The following is a 16,635-nucleotide window of genomic DNA, read 5'->3' on the forward strand; positions in this document are numbered from 1 at the left end:
GTGAGAAGAGAACTTGACCAGGAATAAAAACACCTGGATCTAATTTCTTGCCCTGTCCTTTTGCTCTTTGTGACTTCAGACAAGTCATTTAATCTCTCTGGACTCAAGTTTTCTTCTCTGTACAAAGGCACTAATAAACTGTACAACAAATAATCTTCTTAGCAACGCCTTACTGCTGTGATTACACAGATAAGGAATGTGAAACTACATAACACAGTTTGGTAGCAAAATTGATGTCTAACAAATATTACTTCCCTTTCCTTCCAGCCCCATTTTAAAGACTTTTCCCCAGTGATCTAGCTGTAATGAGAAGAAGAGCGAAACTATGCCCTAGTCCAAAGAATTTACCTTAATTTCCCCTCTGCTACTATATTATGGCCTCCAAAGGAGATGGGTGAAATGCGGGTTACAAAAATAGGCAGAGGAATGAAGAACACTTGGATTTAGCCGTCCTCAGGCTTCCTGAATGCATAGGTTGGGCTAAATCCCTGAAGCTGGGCACGGTGGCTCATGCCTGTAATCCCAGAACTTTGGGAGGCTGAGGCAGGCAGATCACTTGAGGCCAGAAGTTCAAGTCCAGCCTGGCTAACATGGTGAAATCATGTCTCCACTAAAAATAATTTTTAAAAAAATTAAGCTGGGCATGGCTGCGTGCACTTGTAATCCCAGATACTAAGGAGGCTGAGGCACAAGAATCACTTGAACCCCGGAGGTGGAGGTTGTAGTGAGCCAAGATTGTGCCACTGCACTATAGCTTGGGTGACAGAGTGAGACTCTCTCTCAAAAAAAAAATCTAACCCATCTTACAATGATTTCTGCTCCATAAGAAACATTGTGACAGCCACGATTCAATGGCCATGAGAAACCATTTTGATATCTTTTTATCTCAAAACATTACTTAAGATAAAATATCAAAATAATTAAGTTACTATATCTTGCTAGCATCTAAAGCAATTAGGCAAAATATCCGCAAAATACCTGTGCTGCACACCATATTTTCCATTTTCAATATTAATTTCATGTGGTCTTCAAATATTATTTTAGGTTGAGATACATTTTTCTTCCTTACTCTTTCATCTCTCACTTGCATATGAATCCCCCACAGACACTGATTTTAAAAAATTGTGGAATTGCCAAATGATATTATTTTCTTGGGTTTTTTGTTTTTTGTTTTTTTTTTTTACAGAGTCTCACTTTGCGGCTTAGGCTGGAGGGCAGTGATGTGATTATCTTGGCTCACTGCAGCCTCCACCTGCCAGGTTCAAGCAATTCTCATGCCTCAGCCACACCGATGGGACCACAGGCATGTGCCACCAAACCCGGCTAATTTTTGTATTTTTTGCAGAGATGGTGTTTCACCATGTTGGCCAGGCTTGTCTCCAATTCCTGGTTTCAAGTGATCCACCCACCTCAGTCTCCCAGAGTGCTGGGATTATAGGAGTGAACCACCGTGCCCGGCCATTTTCTTGTATTTTTACCTAACTAAAGTAGATCAGAAATAATGTTAATGTTCATATGGTTTGTACTGAATATTTATCTAACTATTCAGAAATTATTTATTTGGTGGTCAACACCGTGACCCGTTACATTAAAAGAAACACAAAAGAAACTCCTACACTTACATACCGGCAGAGTTGCCCTCACAGCAGAGCGATACATTCTATCCATGTTGAGGTTTGGCTGAAACAGTCGAATTTTATTATCTACTCCTCGAAATGCCTTCAATCCTTCAAATAACTGGAGATCAAAGAGAAAAAATCTTAGAGGGTAACCAAAAGAAAACAACCCGTGTTCAAGAGACTGACTTTCCTATGGGCGTTCATCTTATTCATCCCATAAAGCTGTTGACATTGACCTCAACTTGAGATCATTAAATCCAGGAAAGCTAACAGTTGACAGGACTGGTAAAAACAATGGTTGAGGTGGAGGAAAGTTATTTTATTATCAGAATTTGGTAGGAATTCCGAGTTCTCCTCTGCTTAGCAGGAGCCACACTGCTGAATAACACATTTAGGTGTTATTTAAGGGAGCAGGAAGAAAACATCTAGAATCACACAGCACAGGTTAATTCCCTAGGCAATGGAGATCGAAACCAAAGGCCTTGTGGCACCGTGGCCCCCAAAGAGTACCCCCATATCCTTTCATGTAATCTGGTTCATTTGAATGCTGGATAGTAGATAATCCAGATGTGACCAGAGCTGGTTCAGTCCCTAAATCACAGAAACCAGGCAGCTCAAGACCATACTATGTTAAGCCACGTCACCTCCCTCAATCAAAGTGCTGTCCTGAACAAACCACTGATCAGGGATTTGAAAAGACTTCAGTAGATACATACTGATAAATACAGAGAAAGACAAAAATCAATAATTTTAGTGGGAAAATTTAACACAGCTTCTCTAAGTAATTTATAGAACAAACAGGCTAAACCTTAGTAAAGATATGCAAGATATGAACAACAGGAAGAACAAACTTCCCTAACTGATACAGAGAACTCTTACACAGACCAGCTGTAGAATTCACATATTTTCCAAACACAAGATAAGCCAGAAATCAATACCAAAAGTTTGACTGGACACCATCCATATTTTGGAAAATAAATCCACCACTAACTAAACCATAGGTCACAGAAGAAAAATGGAAATTAGAAAATAAGTTAAACTGAACGATAATGAAAAGTAAGGCCTTTAAAGATGTATACCCTAAAAACTTACATGGGAAAAAAAGAAATACAAATCATGTATAATTAAAAAGCATAAAATTAGATGTTGTATTTAAGTGCAAATATATTATTAGTTTATTAAATATAACAGTACTAAAGCTTCGGTTAAAATATAAGTTTGTTAGATTGGACTCAGCTGACAATATCTGAATCAAAAAGACAGAAAAAGATATATCATGCAAATACTTTATTTTTTATTATTTATTTTTTTTTTTTGAGACAGAGTTGTTTTTCTCTGTCACCCAGGCTGAATGAAGTTCAGTGGCAAGATCTTGGCTCACTGCAACCTCTACCCCCTGGGTTCAAGCAATCCTCCCACCTCAGCCTCCAGAGTAGCTGGGACTACAGGCGCGCACCACCACGCCCAAGTTAATTTTTTGTATTTTTTGTAGAGACGAGGTTTTGCCATGTTGCCTAGGCTGGTCTCGAACTCCTGGGCTCAAGTGATGTGCCTGCCTCGGCCTCCCAAAGTGCTGGGATTACAGGCATGAGCCACTGCACCTGGCCTGCAAATACTTTCTAAAATAAAACTGGCAAGCTTCCATTACTATTTATAAAACAAAAGAATTTAAGCCAAGAAGCACTACTGAAGATAAAAAAGGCAACTTCAAGGCTGGGTGTGATGGCTCACGTCTGTAATCCCAACACGTTGGGAGGCCAAGGCTGTTGGATCACTTGAGGTCAGGAGTTCGAGACCAGCCTGGACAACATGGTGAAACCCATCTCTACCAAAAATATAAAAATGAGCCAGGCATGGTAGCATGTGCCTGTAGTCCCAGCTACTTGGGAGGCTGAGCCAGGAGAATTGCTTAAACCCAGGAGGCGGAGATTGTGGTGAACCAAGATCACGCTGCTGCACTCCAGCCTGGTGACAGAGTAGCAACTTCCTAAGGTTCAATTTAAACTTCATAATTTTAAAACTATACATACTTAGAATGGCTACTATCAAAAAGATAAAAGATAAGTATTAGTGAGGATATGGAACCCTTGTATACTGAGGGTAGCGGTGTAAATTAGTACAGTCATTACTTTTTGAGATTCTTCCCAACACTAAAAATAGGGCTGAGTGAGATGGCTCATTCCTGTAGTTCCAGAAATTTGGGAGGCTGAGTTGGGAGGATGGCTTGAGGTCAGGAATTGGAAGCTGCAGTGAGCTATGATTGCACTGCTGCATTCCAGCCTAGGTGCTAAAAATAAATTAATTAAACTAAATTAAATTAAAATTAAAATTAAACTACCATATGCTTCAGCAATCCCACTTCTGGGTATATATCCAAAAGCAGCAGTCCCCAACCTTTTTGGCACCAGGGACCAGTTTTGTGGAAGATAATTTTTCCACAGGGATGAGCGTGGGGAGTCTTGCAGAGTGCAATCATTCTACCTCAGATCATCAAGCATTAGATTCTCATAAAAAGTGCACCACCTAGATTCCTGCAATGCACAGTTCACAATAGGGTTCACACTCCTATGAGAACCTAATGCTGCCACTGATCTGAGATGAGATGGAGCTCAGGTGGTAATGCTCACTCGCAGCTGCTCACCTCCTACAGTGCGATCCAGTACCTAACAGGCCACACATACCACTGCTGTTCCATAGCCTGGGGTTTGGGGACCCTTATCCAAAGGAATTGAAATCAGCATGAGGTATCTGTGCTCTCATGTTTATTGTAGCATTATTCACAATAGCCAGGATACAGAAGCAACCTAACTGTCCATCAACAGATGAATCGATAAAGAAAATGTGGTATGTATACATGATGGAATGTTATTTAGCTATAAAAAAGAAAATTCCATCATTTACAATGACATGGGGAACCCGTTGGACATTATGCTAAGTGAAACAAGACAAGTACAGAAAGACAAATACTGCACGATTTCACTCATATGTGGACTGAAAAAGTCAAACTAATGGAAGTAGAGAGTAGAATGGTGGTTACCAGAGGAGGCTAGGGGTTGGGGAATTGGAAGATGTTGGTCAAAGGGAACAAAATTTCAATTAGGAGGAATAAGTTTTTGAGACCTATCGCACAGCATGGTGACTGTAGTTAATAATAATGTATCATATATTTCAAAATTGCTAAGAGATTAAATTTCAAATGTTCTCACCACAAGAAATGATAAATATGTTCAGTGATGAGTATGCTAATTAGCTTGATTTAGTCACTCTACAATGTAAACATATATCAAAACACTACATCGTACCCCATAAATAAATACAATTATTTGTCAATTAAAAATTTAATAAAAATTGTATGCACTTAATGACATGGCTTCAAATACATGTAAAGAGTATGATAATCTCATTCAGTATTATAGATATAAGATATACAAAAGGCTAATACAACATGACTAAGTTGAATTTATCCCAGAAATGGAGATTGGTTTAACATTTAAAAAAATCAATTAATGTGATTCATTATATTCACAGTTTATGGGAGGAAAAAAACTATATGATCATCTCATTAGATGTAGCAGATGTATCTGATAAAATCAAACTAACTTTTCTGATTTTTTAGTTTCCTAGATAACTAAAAAACAAAGATAACTTCCCTAAGTGACAAAGGATAGCTATAATAAGCTCGCAAACGTTATACTTAATGGTAAAATGTAAAAGCTTTCCTTATCAAATTGGGAACATCGCAAATTGCCTACTGCAATCACTCTAACTGAATATGTACAACCAGTATAAAGCAAGAATAATGAAATTTAAAATATCAGCTTGGAGATGAAAAAATATAACTGTCATAGATCATAAAACATAGATGATATGATTACAGAGATAGAGAACACAGAAAATCTGACAGATAATATTTTGAAATCATCTGTTTAGGCAAGCTGGCCAGATGCAAAATTATATTCCTATGTAATAGCAGCAGTTAAAAAATAAAAACACTATTTACAGTAGAATTAAAAGATACAGTACTTAGGTGGAGAAAAATCTAACAAAAGAAGTGAAAGATCCATAAGGAAAATATAAAACTTTACCAAGTTATTAATGTAGAAAGCAATTTCATGCTCATGGATAAAAAGCCTCAATATTATAAAGATGTTGATTTTCCCCAAACTGATTTATGTATTCAATGTAATCCAAATTAAAAAAAATCACATTAGGGCACTTTATTTTCTTTTAAAAAACTGCATGACAAAAGTTTATCGACTTGATAAACCAAATCTAAAAATTATATGGAAAGAAAATGACCAAGAATATCCAAGGCACTCTTGGAGAACAAAGTAGAAGGACCCTTCCTAGCAGGCAAGGCTCATTATAATGACTGAGAAACCAAGACTGTGGCATTTATGCAGACAAGTAAAACAACTGAACACAAATAGAGATCCAGAAGCAAACTCATGTGTACATGACAAAGGTGTCATCATGACATATCAGAGGGGAAAGTACCGCCCGTTTAAATGGTGCTGGGAAAACTGGGTATACATAGGTGGAAAAAAATAAATTGGGCCCTTACTTCATACAAAAATCAACTTCTAGGATTAAAGACCTAACTGTGAATGACAATATCAATACTATAAGATATCTTTATAATATAAGGGCAGGAAAAGAGTCTTTAAAGACACAACAAATTCCAAACATAAGGCAGATTGACAAAACTGCCTTTAATTTAAACATATTTCTTGTCATCAAAAAATTATAAAGACAGCAATAAAAAAGTGAACAAAAAACTTGAACAAGTGGGCACTTCAAATAAGAACATATTTAGCAACCCAATAAACATATGAAAAGGCGAGCTGGGAACCGTGGCTCACGCCTGTAATTCCAGCACTTTGAGAAGCTGAAGCGAGAGGATTGCTGGAGCCCAGGAGTTCGAGACCAGCCTGGGCAACATGGTCAGACCTTGTCTCCACAAAAAATTTAAAAATTAGCTGAGCATGGTGCTGCACACCTGTGGTCCCAGCAACTAAGGAGGCTGAGGCAGGAGGATCACTTGAGCCCAGGAGGTAAAGGCTGCAGTGAGCTGCACCCCAGTCTGGGTGACACAGCAAGACCTTGTCTCAAATAAATAAATAAAAATCTGCCAAATGGCCAAATCTGCATTCATATTCATACTTTGTTATTTCAAGTAAAAACGGTGCTCGATGAAAAAAGTAGTTCCACTTACAAACTCAAGACAATCACACAACTCCTTTTTCTTCAGACAACCATAGTACTTAAGTATGTAAAAGCACTTTATGTGACATTGCTATTTTATCACACAGAATATTAAAATGACATTTGCTCAAGAGCCAAGATTTAATAAAATTAATAATTGTTACTGTTTCACCAAGAATATTCTGAGGGAAAACTGTTATTCTTTTTATACTGCAATGGATGGCAGTAAAGAACATAATGACTGAGCCAGCACTTTGGGAGACCAAGGACAGAGGATCTATTGAGGCCAGGAGTTCAACACCAGCCTGGGCAACATAGTAAGACCCTGTCTCTTAAAAAAAAAAAAAAAAGAGGCCGGGCATAGTGGCTCACATGCCAACATGGTGAAACCCAGTCTCTACTAAAAATACAAAAATTAGCCAGGCATAGTGGCACGTGCCTGTAATCTCAGCTACTTGGGAGGCTGAGGCAGGAGAATCGCTTGAACCCAGGAGGTGGAGATTACAGTGAGCCAAGATCACACCACTGCTCTCCAGCCTGGAAGAACGAGAGAGATGCTAGCTAAAAAAAAAAAAAAAAAAAATATATATATATATATATATATATATATATAAAGCTGATAAGCCCCTCGGGTTTATCATCCCAAGAGCAGACACCACTAGTAGGGTACCCAGGCCTAACTCCAAAGGACAGGCAAAGGTCATCTGCCTGCAGGTGGTATGGGTACCTATGCAGTGTCTGGAAGACCCCTTGTAGCACAGGGCAGAACTGGGATGGGAACAGATATGGAGTGGACCATGTCATCTCTGTCTATACTTAGGTCCCAGGCCCCACAAATGTTAGGTTGGTCCTTCCTGGTTAGATCTTACATAATACTAAGCTCAAACAATAAGGGGTATTCACACGTGTGCAAGCACACACACACACATGCACACAAACACAAAATATATACATTTTTTCATTTACATGAAGTTCAAAAAGAGGCAAAACTATAGTGTTAAGAATCTACACACTCCATAAAGGAAAGCAAAGAAAGGTTATCACAAAAGTAAGAATAATGGTTACCAGTAGAAAGATAGAGTTTGTGATCTGAATGGGACACGCGAGGGCTTCTGTGATGTTCAACTGTTCTATTTCTTTATCTGGATGGCAAATATGAGCATTCATTTATTAGTACACATTAAATAGTACATACATGTCTTATCCATTTTTTAAAATTATGCTTTATTTCACTAAATATTTGTTATAATCTGAAAATGAAGTGCCTATTATCAACTTTTCATTTCCTTCAATCCGCGTTCCCTACTCGCAGTTTGCGTCTCTCCTCCACTATTTGAAACCTTCAAATATTATCACTATTTGAAACTTTCAGATATTAAAAATTACTTTCAGATATTAACAGAAACCACATGTAGTTGGAGCTCTCAAAATAAAATGGATTCTAGACTCAATAGGTCCGATGAGTGAAGGAGAAACATGTTCAAGGATATTACTCCTATTTAATTTTGCATTTAAAAAATGAAACTATTATTGAACTTAAAAGTCAGGTTGACATTCAATCATGTGATGTCCTAAGTCTGTCAGTCTAAGAGAAACAGTAATATCTATGAAAAAGCCTGAAACATAAATGGACTAGATGTTTCACCACAATATTTGGGAAGAAACTCTTTGAAATTAAATCCCTGCCTAACTTTCCATGTGGGGGTTAAAAAAAAAAGACAGAAAACAGGCCAGGTGCAGTGGCTCATGCCTGTAATCTCGGCACTGAGGCAGGCGGATCACTTGAGGTCAGGAGTTTGAGACTAGCCTGGCCAACATGATGAAACCCTGTCTCTACTAAAAATACAAAAATTAGCCGGGCATGGTGGTGGGCACCTATAATCCCAGCTACCTGGGAGGCTGAGGGAGGAGAATCTGTTGAAGCCAGGAGGTGGAAGTTGCAGTGAGCTGAGATCAGGCCACTGCACTCCAGCCTGGGCGACAGAGCAAGACCTTGTCTCAGAAAAAAAAGAAAGAAAGAAAACAATTCTTTGAGAGCAAGGTCATGGTTGGTTTGCTTGCCATCCTATTCCAGGCACCTTGCACAGCCCTGGGCACATAGTAGCCACTCAACATTTATTAAACAGGTAAACAGGGAATGAAATGAATATGATTAGTGAGAAAATCCAGGGACCCTGAAGTTCTCTCCAGAAGGCAATCACACTTCCTAGATTCCTATGACACTATAATAATGATACAGGAGTTAAGAAATCACCTGCAGATAGTGAGGGTACAAGAGTCCTCAGTAAGGTTTTTGTTTTAATGAAAAGCAGCCCCTTTCTAAAGAAGAGCAGCCTGTAAAATCAAGCTGCAGACATAGATATCCACAGCTGCGTCAATCATGTTCAAGATGGCGGCTCCATCTTCCCTTCTCTTTGTCAGCCACCTGTACAGTAAGGAGCAGACAAGATAGCTCCAATCAACTAGGAAAGTCCATTTGCATAAAAGGATTAGGGTGGGGCAACCAGACTTCCCGGTGTGCTATGTAAACGTCATACCTGATCAAACCAACCTGTTAGCCCTAAGTAAATCAGACACTTCCTCCTCAAACCTGACTATAAAATCCAGCTCATCTGCTGCTGGATGGTCTTTTCCCTCGAAGATCCCTCTCTCCCTACAGAAAGAACTGTTTCTGTTTCTCTTCTGCCTATTAAACCTCCACTCCTAAACTCCTCGTGTGAGTCCTTGTCCTAAATTTTCCTGGCACAAAATGACGAACCCCAAGGTATATACCCCAGACAACGTAGCCACTTCAATAATATCTGGCCTGTGAAATCTTAGAACCCAATTTGGCACTCAGAGGAAAACAATACATCCACCATATCTCCCCATTTATCACTGATGTCTATTACAGACTGTATTTTCCATGAAATGGCCGAACAATATTTCCAGTCCCCCATGCTCTTCCAGAACCCTGACCTTCCTCATCAAGAAGTGGAGTGCTTTTTTCCTCCTTTTGAACTTGGACAGGCCTTTGTAACCATCATGACTGATAAGAGTAAGGCAGAAATAATACTGTGTGATTTACAGTTCCTGGCTGGTAACTCCCATAGCCCTTGTTACAGTCTTTTGTTATAATGCTGGGTGTGTTAGGCCTCAGGGGCAGGAAGCAGAATCTCTCTGACCTTCTCCTGCCCTCCTTTCTAACTGTGAGTCTTAAGATCCTCTCCAAAGGGGCTGGGTGGCTCATGCCTGTAGTCCCAGCACTTTCGGAGGCAGAGGCGGGAGGCTTACTTGGGCCCAGGAATTCAATACCACCCTAGGCTACATAGCAAGACCCCATCTTATATTTTAAAAATAATGAAATAAAATAAAAGACCCTCTCCGGTGAAGGTCCTGCCTCATACCCCAGGGGAAGGAATATTGACGTGAAGCTTCCATAAAAACCCAAAAGAATGAGTTCAGTGAGCTTCCGGATAGCAGAACACATGAAGGTTCCTAAAGGGTGGCACACCCCGGGAGGGCATGGAAGCCCTGCACTCTATCCCCCGATACCTCACCCTACACATCGCTTCATCTATACACTTTGCAGTATCCTTTATAATAAACCACTAAACCTAAGTGTTTCCCTGAGTTTTGTGAGCTGCTCCAGTAAATTAATCAAACCAGAAGAGGGGGTCATGGGAACTCCAACTTGATGCCTCTCAGTCAGACATTCCAGAGGACAGGACTTGTGACTTGTGTCTGGGCCAGGTGAGGGTGGTTAGGGTCTTGGGGAATGAGCCCTTAACCCATGGGATCTGACACTATTTCCAGGTGGATAATGTCAGAGGTGTTTGGACCAGAGCGACTCCATCCTGATTAGGGGCTGGGTAAAATAAGGCTGAAACCTACTGGGCTGCATTCTCAGGAGGTTAGTATTCTAGGTCACAGGATGAGATAGGAGGTCGGCACAACATACAGGTTACAAAGACCCCACTGATAAAACAAGATGTGGTAAAGAAGCCAGCCAAAACCTGCCAAATCCCATATGGCAATGAAAGGGATGTCTGGCCGTCCTCGCTGCTCATTATAAGCTAATTATAATGCATTAGCATGCTAACAGACACTCCTACCAGTGTCACGACAATTTACAGAGGCCATGGCAATGGTGGGAAGTTAACCTACAAGGTCTAAAAAGGGGAGGAACCCTCAGTTCCAGGAATTGCCCATCCCTTTTCTGGAAAATTTATGAATAATCTACCCCTTCTTTAGCAAATGATCAAGAAATAACCATTAAAATAGCCAACCAGCAGCCCTCGGAGCTCCTCTGTCTACGGAGTAGCCATTCTTTTTTTCCTTTACTTTCTTAATAAATTTTATTTTACTTTGTGGACTCTCCCCAAATTCTTTCTTGTGCAACATCCAAGAACCTCTTGGGGACTGGATTGGGACACCTTTCCCGTAATAACAGTGTGAGAATTGAATTGGAGGACACCCAGCTGGGGTTCACTGCTTGGTGGTGGGGAGAAATCCCTACACCTTTGATCATAGAAGTCTCCTATGTTGACTATTGTTGTGGTGGTGTGAGAGTAGAGGAAAAACTCGGTTGGAGAATTTTTCTTGAAAGAGTAGTTTTGAGGCTAGGGCGTAAACAGCAATAGAGCTTCCATCTGGGCTCAGTCAACTGACACATACAGATTTTGGGCCCTAGGTCAGCACATAAGAAGGCTGCCTACTCTGTGACTGCCATCCTGAGGAGACCACATGGAGAACAAGTAATGCCGGAAGAGCCTTCAACTCCTTGAGTTTTGCAGCCCAGATGGCAATGAAAGTGACCTCTGGTCATCCTCACTGTTCATTATACACAAATTATGAAGCATTAGCATGCTAAGAGACACTCCCTCCAGCACCATATGAGTTAGGAAGCCTGTGAGCTGACTCTAACCCCAGCCACTGACAGCAACCGTGTGACGGACCCCAAGCAAAAACCACTTAGCCATCCTAGTCAACCCCAGAAACATGAAAAATAATTTTAAAATGACGCTTGTAATTTTAAGCTATTAATTTTGTTACATAGTGGTAACCATGCAATATACAATCCAGTTATTAATACAAAACATTTATTTTACTTATATTGTAAGCAGAAGACTAATAATAAAAGATTTTGGTTTTTAACAAAGGATAACAGTAATTTGAGAGTTTTTTTAAACTACCCTAATTACAAAAATCTAAATTGGCAAAACCAATCAAAGTAGCATTCCAACTCATCTAAATAGATGGCCAAAGAGGTTTTTGTTTTTTTTTTTTGAGATGGAGTCTTGCTCTGTCACCCAGTGTGGAGTGCAGCGGCGTGATCTCGGCTCACTGCAAACTCCGCCTCCTGGGTTCACGTCATTTTCCTGCCTCAGCCTCCTAAGTAGCTTGGACTACAGGCGCCTGCCACCACGCCCGGCTAATTTTTTTTTTTTTTTCTATTTTTAGTAGAGATGGGGTTTCACCATGTTAGCCAGGATGGTCTCGATCTCCTGACCTCGTGATCCGCCCGCCTTGGCCTCCCAAAGTGCTGGTATTACAGGCGTGAGCCACCTCGCCTGGCCGTTTTTTGTTTTGTTTTGTTTTGTTTTGTTTTGTTTTGTTTCAATAGAGTCAGGGTCTCATCATGTTGCAGCCCAGTAGGTCTCAGCCTTATTTTACCCAGCCCCTATTCAGGATGGAGTCACTCTGGTTTGAACGACTCTGACATTATCTACGTGGAAATAGCATCAGATCCCATGGGTGGAGGGCTCATTTCCCAAGAACCCCATCTCCCCGAAACTGCTGAAATTACAGATGTGAACCACCCCACCCAGCCTTCAAAGAGTTTTCAAAAACCAGTGACCACCAAAATCTTTTTTAACTTCCAAAAATGACATTAAATCATTTCTCATTTACTTCCCATAGGCCAGCAATTCCCAAAATGTGGTCCCTGGAGCGACAAAATTAACATGATCTGGACACTTGTTAGAAATGAGAAACTCTGGAGATGTAGCCAGCTGATTCTGATGCACATTAAGTTTGAGAACCAGTGACCTGGGCTTGGGCATATTATTCCTTTCAAATTTAAAAGCACATAGCCAGGAGCAGTGGCTCATGGCTGTCATCCCAGCACTTGAAGAAGCCAAGGCAAGAGGATTGCTTGAGCCCAGGAGTTTGAGACCAGCCTGGGCAACATGGCAAAACCCAGTCTCAACAAAATATGTAAAAATTAGCCAGACATGGTGACATGTGTCTGTGGTCCCAGCTACTCAGGAGGCTGAGGTACGAGGTTTGCTTGAGCCCAGGAGTTTGAGGCTGCAGTGAGCCACGATCGTGCCACTGCACTCCAGCCTGGGTGACAGAGCAAGAATCTGTCTGAAAAATAAATAAATAAAAGCACTTCATTTCACCTGTTCTTTATTATACCTTATGACATGGTGAGGGCTTGTGGCAAATAATGAAAGAACTCATTCAAATTGACATAACAGGAAGAGCTGGGAACAGAAACTTAGATTCCTAAATTCAACATTTTGTGGATACATATGGACAGTGAATATCTTTCCAAAATTATATGAATTTATAATTTTGAAGGAGTTAATTGCAAAAGCATCCTAGTAATTTTGGTGTATACATGTAGGGGCTATATAACAGAAAGAAGCTTCTCATTGGAACCTTAGCTCCACCCTTACTGCTGTGTAATATTAGTCAAGAAACAACTCTTCTGAGCCTCCTTTTATAATGGATGAGACCACTGCTTCAAGAGTTAATTATTATTGCTAACAACTGGGCTCTCGCTATGCACCAGATATGACTCTATATGCTTAGATAAATTACTTTATTTTATACTTATGAGATCACTGTAAGATAGATATTATAACTACCCCAATTTTATAGATAAAGAAATTAAAGCACAAATGATTAAATTCCTCAAGTCATAAAGGTTCCTATGGAGCAAATGAGACCGAATTTGAGCCCAGGATGTCTGACTTCAAAGCCTGAATGCTTAATCACATGCCTTCTCACTTAAGGTAATTAAATGAGATGATTCATATATGGAACATAATACAGAACGTATTGCAGGAATTCAGTAAACAAAAGTTGTTATTTTATCATTAATCTATTAATATTTTACTATTACCATATTTTAGCACTTAATAGGAAGACTATTATTATTTCCAGCACCCCTATTATTCTGGGAAAGATGTCCAAATCATTCAAAAGTAAAATACAATGAGAATCAAGACAATGGGAAGTATACTGTGCATCTGGTTAATTGTGCACCCTGAAAAGGACCAGAGAAAGAATTCTTTAAACATTTTATGCTTAAAATTATTTCAACTCATGGCTGAAGGAGGACATTTAATTACATGTCCCTTAACATGCATAACTAGACATTATTACTGGTCATAAAAATGTGGAGTTAGCATTAAAATCAAATCATAATATTGTTCTCAATGACCCTTTCTCAATTATTAGAAGATCTAAGAAGAAAGGTGACTTATTAAATTATCAACAGTGCTGGCTTTTTAATTGCCAATTTTCCCACCAGCTGTCCTTTCTATTTGCTTTAAATAATTTTTTTATTGACGTCACAGAAAATGCAAGATTATCTGAAAAATTAGCTGCTAAGATTTATCTTCAATCCAACTGTCTATAGGAAAACTTTTAAAGACATTTTCGGCTTCCTCTGGTAAATATGATAAAGCCCATACTGCCCAAGAGCTATTTTAGCAGGAGAAGCTACTTAGTACCCACAGTGAAGTGCAAGCATGTCACTCTCTTTAATTCCCATGTACTTACTTCCACTGCATAGTGCAAAGCTGATGAGCCAGGGTGCAATGACAGGTTCTGAAGAGGCTTGATATGAGGTTTCTCCCATCCAAACTCTGAGGACCACTCCACCGTCAGCATATGATCCGTGAACACAGTTCCAAAAACCAGATTATTGGGGTCTGGTTTTTCCTTTAAAATGGTAGCTGGTGTGACTATTAGGTCTTTAGCCTGGGGAAGAAAAATCATCACTATTTACAGAAAAGCTACTGAGCATTCGCTGGCTAGATTATACAGAGGGGAAAAAAAAAAAGGAAATCAATTGACTTTTAAAGGTTAGCAGCTAACACAGAAATTTAACACTCTGAGCTGAACAAATCATGCCTGCATTCAGAATTCGGCCAGTTATTCATAATCTCTGCAATGTACACTGCCTAATAGAATATCAGAACCAAATTTCAGTGATATATAGAAGAGGGACAAAATAGCAGATGGGGTAAGATGATGCAAAAAAAGAATACAACCCTTTTTCACTCTCACCATAGGACTCATGTTGAGTATTTGGGAAAGATGAAAGAGATGTTTTCCCTAATAAAAAATGGCAACACTCACAATGATTTGTTAAACTAAAATGAATGTCATTAAGTACTGAACTGCTATTTAGCAATGGTTACACTCCAACTGCCCCAAAGAATTGTTGGCATAAGCCTTCAAAATCCTCTGGGTGCACTGGAGAAGAAATGAGCAAAGTGAAGCAAATGTTTTCCTCTTTGAAAACAGGAAAGTTGAGAATGAACACTAAGATATAAATCCTCTGTTCTGTGTGGAGGAAACAGTGAACAAAGGAACTCTTATTTAAACAAAGATAAATCAGAGTAATAGGAAACAACTCCCCACAAGCAGCATCTCACCAGCTCCCGACATAGCCAGTTTGCCCACTGCAAATGGCCAAACATTAAGCGTACAAATTGCATGCGATACCACCACTAACTTTATAGCATCTGTGGAATGCTGACAAAAACACAGGAGACCAGCACTTTGGGAAGCCGAGGCATGCAGATCACAAGGTTTGGAGATTGAGACCATCCTAGCTAACATGGTGAAACCCCGTCTCTACTAAAAATACTAAAAATTAGCCAGGCGTGGTGGCATGCACCTGTAGTCGCAGCTACTCAGGAGGCTGAGGCAGGAAAATCACTTGAACCCGGGAGGCGGAGGTTGCAGAGAGTCAAGATCGCACCACTGCACTCCAGCCTGGGAGACAGAGCAAGACTCTGTCTCAGAAAAAAAAAAAAGAAAAGAAAAGAAGAGAAAAGAGAAGAAAAAAAGAAACACAAGAGAAGGAACTTTTTGATCAGTTAAAAAAACAGGGGCAAGTTCAACCTGTAACAGGTTGTGAAGGGATGTCAAACTCCATCTCTTTGAATATACAAAAAAAGTCTTTTCCCTCCCAAATTAAATACAGACCTTCACTTTACATCATCAGCTCTTATCATTATTTTTAAAATGATCTAATTCTGTTTAATTCACTGCCTTGCAGCTACGTGAGTCATTTGATATATTATGAATGATAGTAAATTGTATTTTTAGAATAATATTCAGGCTGAAAACATATTCCAAAACAAACAGAAAGCTCATATTACAGTGACACAAAAGGCATTAAGGACAGAATATTACTGTAATGTTCAGGCTAGTCTAGTAATGCTACTTTGTAATATGCCAATAAAATGCCAAGTTTCAATAAAAAATTGACTTTGTTCTACCATTATTATTATTATTTTGTATTTTTTTTAGAGATAGGGACTCACTATGTTGCCCAGGCTGGTCTCGAACTCCTGGGCTTAAGCAATCTGCCTGCCTCGACCTCCCAAAGTTCTAAGATTACAGGCATGAGCCACTGTGCCCAGCCTGTTTTACCACTATTTAATTCAAGTAAAAACGTTAATTTAAGACTTTTTACTAAGTATAATAAGTTTATTTAAAGAAATATATTCCAGCTAAATTATTTTTATCTTTGAATCCCTTTTCTCTCCCGTTGTCCTCTGGACTAGGTAGGGGGTCAGGC

At 39.5% G+C, this 16,635-nt stretch overlaps 1 protein-coding gene across 39 annotated transcripts in view; it reads right to left on the minus strand.

Moving 5' to 3' along the window:
* The window catches only part of BCAT1 (branched chain amino acid transaminase 1), a 139,317-nt gene that overhangs the window by 69,651 nt on the left and 53,031 nt on the right, over nt 1-16,635 (minus strand). For 29 of the 39 annotated variants that reach the window (NR_182106.1, NR_182105.1, NR_182109.1 and 26 more), the window contains 2 exons: nt 14,601-14,801; nt 1,627-1,737 (listed from right to left, as the gene is read on the minus strand). Coding sequence is in view for 31 of the 39 variants with exons in the window: in NM_001413094.1 (NP_001400023.1) it covers nt 1,627-1,737; nt 14,601-14,801 (312 nt within the window). In the remaining 8 variants the exon portion in view is untranslated. The remainder of the gene's footprint in view (nt 1-1,626; nt 1,738-14,600; nt 14,802-16,635) is intronic. The other 10 variants (XR_007063110.1, NM_001413101.1, NM_001178092.2 and 7 more) reach the window with 2 other exon arrangements.

Source organism: Homo sapiens, chromosome 12, assembly GCF_000001405.40.
Source record: "Homo sapiens chromosome 12, GRCh38.p14 Primary Assembly".
Taxonomy (NCBI): Eukaryota; Metazoa; Chordata; class Mammalia; order Primates; family Hominidae; genus Homo; species Homo sapiens.